Below are 7,882 nucleotides of genomic sequence, written 5' to 3'. Positions count from 1 at the left end.
TAAAAAAAAGTTATTCATTATTTACATGTATGTATGTGTGTGTCTGTGTGTGTGTGTACATGTTTAGGTGGAAACATTCCAAAAATATTTAAGTATGTCACAATCATACTTTAAAAATACAATATACAGTTATTAATTATAATTTATAAATTAACTCAAATTATAATTTATTAATTACAAATTATAAAGTTCTTTGTAATTTGTCCTACTGATCTCACCAGCTTACTGTTCCACCCATCCTGCACACACAGGCACACATGCCACACACTTCAGCCACAGCTGAACTCCTGAGTTCTCACATAGTGTTGTGCCTTTACTTCCTCCCCACATCCCCTATCCTCTCTGGAGAAGTGGAGACTAGAGCTGGGGAGTTTCTCCGAGTTCCTGGTTGTCACTGTTTCCAGAGGCTCTGCTGGTTTCCTTCTCCCGGGTTCTGGGAAGCAGTCTTGCAGCGTCATTCCTGCTTATGCTTGTTGGTGTTTCTTTCTTGCAACCAAAGAGTTCTGTTACTAGGACCTGCCTCATATGAGTCCTGTGAGGTTCAATGAGATGACTCATGACCTGTATCTGTCATGATGCTTTACACATCCTGAGTGTTTAAATGTCATTATCATTGTATGCTCCAAGTTGTTGATCAGTGGTGGATCTATGCATGTGAATAAATAAAAAACTTAGTTTCTTTCCTTCTGGAAGGTAATTTCAAGTTGTGGATTGGAAAAGGATTTAGTTAAGAAAACAGAATGGACTTAAGGTGATCTGACTCTGAAGTTCTACAGAGTCACATTTACTTGAGAGTGTGCTCGGTGAATAAAAGCTTAACACATTTTCTTTAGGATGTGATGGTTGCCTGAGTAAATTGTGAGGGCCACGTTTAGTGTATTCTGATGGGAGTGAGAATACTTGGGTTCCAATCCCAGGTCTCACCCTTATTAACTGGGTTATCTCAGGCAAGTAGTTAAATTTCTCTGCACCTCTGTTTTCTCATCTGTAAAATGGATATGGTAGCTACCTCCAAGAGTGTTGTAAAGATAAAATGAATTGGCCGGGTGCGGTTGCTCATGCCTGTAATCCCAGCACTTTGGGAGGCTGAGGTGGGTGGATCACTTGAGGTCAGGCGTTTGAGACCAGCCTGGCCAACATGGCGAAACCCTGTCTCTACTAAAAATACAAAAATTAGCCAAGTGTGTTGGCACACGCCTGTAATCCCAGCTACTTGGGAGGCTGAGCCAGGAGAATCGCTTGAATCTGGAAGGCAGAGGTTGTGGTGAGCCAAGATTGCGCCACTGCACTCCAGCCCGGGCGACAGAGAGAGACTCCGTCTCAAGAAAAAAAACAAAATGAATTAATACATATGAAGCTCTTAGCATAATGCCAGGCATGTAGCATTCAGTAAGAGTTATCTCATATTTAATCATCTAAGTTTCCTTTATCATCCCAACATTAGAAGGTCAATTATTTTTAGCTGGAAATGATCTTAGTGCTCATACATGCCAGTGTTTGACAGACTTGTTTATTTCTTCTTCCTTTTTAAGCAATGAACTCTTTTTTCCTAGTGAAACCTGTGTGGAACTGTAGCAGCTGAGGTTGGGGCCACCATGTGCCCATGAACACACAGCATTTCTGGACCATCTGGAGGCTTCTCTTTTATATCTCTCAAGGAGTAGGGGTGGGAGGCAAATATGTCCACAATCAGAGGCGATAATACCTAACTGATAACCCAGACATGTGTGGATCTCTAGGCAAATGGTGTAAGCACAGATCCGGGCCCAGACCCCTTCATTTTATTCACAAGGAGGCTGAGTTGCATGAAGAGGCTAACAAGGAAATTTAGTAAGGGTAGTAGCAACTGTACTTCATCAGGTTCTGGAATGTCTTTTCCAAATCTTAATAAAATGCAGCATTATCATAAGTTCAAATACAAGCAAGAAAACAAGTACATGGTAGGTTTATTAATAGTAGGTTAACCCAACCAGGTGGAATTTGAGATTATCTTTGGTTCAAAACTGTTTCAGAAACAAAAGGAGACAGGGAGATTGTAAATTCCAAAAGAAATGGAAACTCACAGTCAAAGGCACCTTACTAAAATCCATTTTAAATCTACTGAATCTCAGCAAGTCACCTATTAAAGGCCACAGTTTCACTTCTAATGAACAGAGGTTAAACCAATTTTGACCACCACTGCCTAATAATGTCTTTATATTTTACCTCCCTTGTCAGAAAGAATTAATTCATTCTTTATTCATTCAGCAAATATAGCAAAAATATCAAGTGGCAGAATGAGAACTTGAACTTAGATTGTTTGACTTAAGGCCAGTGAACTGTCAGCTAAGCTGCTTCTTTAGCAAGAAGAAGACAACAAGAAGAACATTGGGTTTGGAACCAGGAGAAATGGCTTTGGATCCTGGCTTTGCAATTTGCTAATTTTATAACCTTGAAGACAATTTTTACCTGTCTGCTCAGCCTAAAAACCATGACCTCCCTTTTCTCTACAAACTTCCTCTGCAGTTTGGCTCCACATTACCGCACCCTTTGTCCACAGCAAATGAGTGCTATTATTTTATTATTCTTTGAGAAAAGCTGGATCCTTATTCCCGAAAAGTCCATTCCTGCGTAAAATGCAGGTGTTGGTTTAATTAGAACCAGTTGATGGAACCAGGTTGCCCAGAGTAACATCTGTAGCACTTCCTTCTGAATCTTGATTTAAAAAAACATTTTTTTTAGAGTAATAGTACTGTGGACGCCATGACCTTAAATGTGGATTTGCAGAATCATAATTAAATTCTGCTCTCTACTGGCTCAACGCTGGTCTTTTATCTCCTTCAAAAGTCATTCTTTGAGGCTGGGGGTGGTGGCTGATGCCCGTAATCCCAGCACTTTGGGAGGCCGAGGCAGGTGGATCACTTGAGGCCAGGAGTTCGAGACCAGCTGGCTAACATGGCGAAACCCAATCTCTACTAAATATACAAAAATAAATAAATAAATAAATAAATTAGCCAGGCATGGTGGTGCCTGTCTGTAATCCCATCTACTTGGGAGGCTGAGACAGGAGAATCGCTTGAACCTGGGAGGCAGAAGTTGCAGTGAGCCGAAATTGCACCACTGCACTCCAGCCTGGGTGACAGAGTGAGACTCTGTCAAAAAAAAAAAAAAAAAAAAAAAAAAAAAGGAAGTCATTCTTTGAGATGTCTTTCTCATGCATGGGGATTCTTGATTTGGCCCTGAATAATTTTTCAGCCTCATCTTCCCCATTGCCAAATTCATACATATTGAAACACTTGTCATTCCCCAGATACTCCAAGCTCTCCCTGCCTTGCCTTCAAACATAATATTGTTCCCTTTCCCTGAAATGGCCTCTCCTGTTGGGCTTCCTGCCATCATCCTTCAGGCCTGAGTTCCAATGTCTCAGTTCCTCTGAGTGGCCTCTCCTGACCCTGCTGGCTGGGTCTGCTGTCCTCATCTGTGTGCTCATAGATTACAATCTGCTGGTGTTCTCTTGGGGTTGTCAGTTGTCTTATCTGGCTCCTCCACTATGAGCTCTTTGAGGACAGAACTGTGCACTATTCGTGTCAATACTCCCTCCAGGACTTACAAGAACTCATGGTGGAACATGAACAATCCATAAATATTTGCTGAATGAATAAAGCATGAATTAATTCTTTCTGACAAGGGAGGTAAAATATAAAGACATTATTAGATAGTGGTGGTCAAAACTGGTTTAATCTCTGTTCATTAGAAGTGAAACTGTGGCCTTTAATAGGTGACTTGCTGAGATTCAGTAGATTTAAAATGGATTTTAGTAAGGTGCCTTTGACTGTGAGTTTCCATTTCTTTTGGAATTTACAATCTCCCTGTCTCCTTTTGTTTCTGAAACAGTTTTGAACCAAAGGTAATCTCAAATTCCACCTGGTTGGGTTAACCTACTATTAATAAACCTACCATGTACTTGTTTTCTTGCTTGTATTTGAACTTATGATAATGCTGCATTTTATTAAGATTTGGAAAAGACATTCCAGAACCTGATGAAGTACAGTTGCTACCACCCTTACTAAGAAAGAGTAAATTTAAAAGATATTTGCTCTTTCTTCTCACTTAGAATTGTTCCCGTGTCAAGTTTCATTAAATAGAGAAAGACATTAAAACTAGGGTTTTTCAGTCCTTAAGACTTTAAAAAATGGGTCTTACATGTTAAAAATTAATACTTTTTTGCCTTCATTTCTGGACCAAACCACATATCATCACCAAGATTGCCTGGTTGGGAAGAGTTTGCAAAGTGAGTTTATATAATGAGGTTTCATTGAGCTAACTGCTTCCCCAAAATAGCATCCTTCATTTGGAAGAGCTTGAAGTTCAGATAGCTGTTCTTCCTTTGTTAATTTGTTTTCTAGTGAAGCGAAAGTTCCTGTCACAGATTTATTTTTATTGTGACAGTGGTGGGGGAGCAAAGAAATTTTATTTATAGTCTTGTGAAAGGAAATTAAATCTTAGGACCCCAAACTCATTAAGCCAAAGGGAAAAGTCAATCTGGGAACCGGGTCACACAAACCTGCCTCCCCCTTTTGGTTCCTAAATAAGATCGCTACGAGATAAAAAGCTACACACCTCCCCCATAATTTGCCCACAAGAAAATTCCTAGTGAGCTGCAAGATCTTTTAAGGTGTTTCTGTGAAGATTTCACCATGGCAATGTAAAATGATAGCTTCTCTTTACAGGTGCAGTCACCCCAGGCCCACCAGACACAGATGCATATCTGATTGTTCCCCTGTCCCATTTTGTCTATGTTATCTTATGTCAAATGCAGATTCCCTGTATTTTTCCTCTGCCCATTTGTCTATGTCATCTTATGCAAAAAAATGCAAATTAATAGAGCCAGACAAAGGCATGAATGACTATTTTTCCCTATACCCCTCTTACATGAAAATTGTATATTTCTCAATATCCTACCATTTCCCCTTTAAATTTGGAGCCCTCAAAATCATCCTCGGAGAAAGGCATAGACCTGTCTCCTGGGTGTGCATCCTTAACTTTGGCAAATAAGCCTTCTAAAATGATTGAGACTTGTCTTATCATTTTTCTCGATTGACAGTCTGTTTCCATTCTTCAGATGTATCATTTCCCCTGTACCAACAGTGCCAACTGGGCTGGTTAGAGATATCATGAAATATACTCTAATTTCTTTCTTTCTTTCTTTCTTTCTTTCTTTCTTTCTTTCTTTCTTTCTTTCTTTCTTTTTTTTTTTTTTGAGACAGAGTCTCACTCTGTTGAGCAGCTGGAGTGCAGTTACATGATCTCGGCTCTCTGCAACTTCCACCTCCGGGGATCAAGTGATTCTCCTGCCTCAGCCTCCCAAGTAGCTGGGACTACAGGTGCACAGCACTGTGTCCGGCTAATTTTTGTATTTAGTACAGATGGGCTTTCACTATGTTGACCAGGCTTGTCTCAAACTCTTGACCTCAGGTGATCCGCCCACCTTGGCCTCCAAAGTACTGGGATTACAGGTGTGAGCCACCGCGCCTGGCCTCTAAATTCTAATATTGTGTTTGTGGCTCGTGTTGACAGACAATGTCACAAGGTATGATCAAGTCACGTTAAACTCTGTCTTTGTATTGGTCAGATGTAGCTGCAGAACAACCTCAAGATCTCAATGGCATACCCCAGGAAACGTGTATTTCTTTCTTATGAGTTTACAAGTCAGCTGAGACAGCTTTGTCTCATGTTGAGGGTTGACTGTGGTGGCCCTGCTCTATATAGCTCTCTTCCTCTCCTGGTTCCAGCATGTTGGCCAAGGCCTGTTCTATAATCTTGGGGGGAAAATGTGTTATCTTTCCTCCTGCCTAGGCAGAACCTGCTAGCCCTCTCTGGATGACCTGTCCTTCCCTTGATTCTTGCTGGTACTCTGTGAGTTCTGGGTTTCTGCATTAGTGTCCACCTGGCTCCTGGTAAAGGAGGCCACCCCAAGCCTCTGGTGTTGATTATTTTTCCCTTCAGTGTGGCAGGCCCTATGATTCTTTGAATTTAGCTGCCTCCTGAGTCTCCCCTGGGGACTATGGGAATGTCTCGGTTCTGCTTATGTTATTGGGAGCCACAAATAGCCTGAGCAAGCAAAATACTAGGGTGCTCATCAGGTGAACCATTGGCTTAGTTACGGTTCTTCAAAGAAACAGAACCAATAGGGGTTATCTCTGTCTCTACCCCTACTCTATCTCTCTGTCTGTCTGTCTATCTATCTATCTATCTATCTATCTATCTATCTATCTATCTATTCATCCGTTCACCCATCCATCCATCCATCCATCACCTATTTATCTATCTAAAAGGAGATTTGTTATGAGGAACTGACTCACATGATTATGGAGGCTAAGAAGTCCCATTATCTGCTGTCTGCAAGTTGGATACCTGGGAAAGCCAATGGTATAATTCAGTCTGATGTCCAAAGGCCTGACAACTAGGGAAGCTGATGGTATAAATCCAAGCCTGAGGGCAGGAGAACATGAGATGAGATGTCCTAGCTCAAGAAAAGGGGGCAGCAAATGTTTTTTCCTTTCTCTGACATTTGTTCTATTCAGGTCTTCAAAGAATTGGATGAGGCTCACTCACATGAAGGAGCGCCATGTACTTTACTGAGTACACCTATTCAAATGCTAATCTCATCCAGAAACACCCTCCCAGACACAGCCAAAAATCATATTTCACCTGGGCACCCTGTGGCCCAGTCACATTGACACATAAAATTCACTATCACAACCATGTTGTGCTTCCAGATTTACTTTGATGTGTGCTATGGTTTAAAATGTTGACGTCCCCTCCAAAATTCATGTTGAAACACAATCTACTTTGTAGAGATGCAAAGATTGCAAAGAGGTGGGATCTTTTGGGGTGGATTAATGCCCTTATAAATGAGCCTCCAGACAGACAGATCATCCCTTTTGCTCTTCCACCTTCTGATGTGTAAGATGACCCTCACCAGACAGTGAATGCTGGTGCCTTGATCTTGGACTTCTCAGCCTCTAGGACTGTAAGAAAATACATTTTTGCTCTCTATAAATTACCCAGTCTCAGATATTTTGTTACAGCAGCACAAATGGACTAAGACAATGTCTGCATCATAAGCTAATGCAGGACAATATGTGGGGGGCCACTTTTTAGGATTCATAATGAGGAAAAGGGGCAACCCTTCTCCCTCCCTGCCTCACAGCATCTCTTTTGGTGTCCCCAACCAGTACACCTAGATGAGCCCTCCTTTGGCTGGGGAGGACCACCATTCCCCCTCTGCCTCAGAGAAAGTTGCTTGGCAGCCATGGTCATCATCCATTCTAGGGAAAGGCAACTGGAAACTCCACTTAGGCCTCAATTATACTCCTTTTCTAGTCCAATTTACACAGACAGCCTTGTCTTAGTGATATTGTTGGGCATTTTCCAACCCATTCATGAGTGTGGTACTTTGACTATTGGTTCTCTATGGTTTAGGTTGAATTATATGAATGCCAACATTCAACATCACTTCTTTTTCACATCAGATGGGTAATGTGCCAACATCGTAACAAGATCTGAGGGAGGCACATCTCACATATGAGCCTGAAAACCCAATCGTCACACTTAGGAGCTACAAGAGGATCTTAACATCATTTTGACTGAAGCATAACAGCATTTCCATATGGCTCAACCCATATGCTAACTGGTAGAATTCCTAAAGAGAGGGAGGATGAGTCTTAACCTGCTTCCCTCCCAGTTTCCCCACTGCACTTCACATTCTGAAGGTCTCAGACAGCACAAGTTCTGGAGGAAAGTGGACCAAGCAAGAGGTTGTCAGAATTGCTGCCATGAGCCAGGCAGTGGCTGTGGAGGTTTTATGCACTGTTCAGGGTGCCCAGGCAGTGTAAGTCCT

The 7,882-nt window shown here is 41.7% G+C and overlaps 1 non-coding gene across 1 annotated transcript; it reads right to left on the bottom strand.

Moving 5' to 3' along the window:
• Positions 1–7,508: 7,508 nt before the first annotated feature.
• Positions 7,509–7,612, bottom strand: LOC124903259 (small nucleolar RNA U13). The gene has a single exon (XR_007063958.1). It is a non-coding gene; the product is annotated as a small nucleolar RNA U13 (small nucleolar RNA).
• Between the last annotated feature and the right edge of the window lie 270 nt (positions 7,613–7,882).

This window comes from Homo sapiens, chromosome 13 (assembly GCF_000001405.40).
Source record: "Homo sapiens chromosome 13, GRCh38.p14 Primary Assembly".
Taxonomy (NCBI): Eukaryota; Metazoa; Chordata; class Mammalia; order Primates; family Hominidae; genus Homo; species Homo sapiens.
The sequence above is the reverse complement of the archived record's forward strand: the minus strand, read 5'-3'. Positions and strand labels throughout refer to the sequence as shown.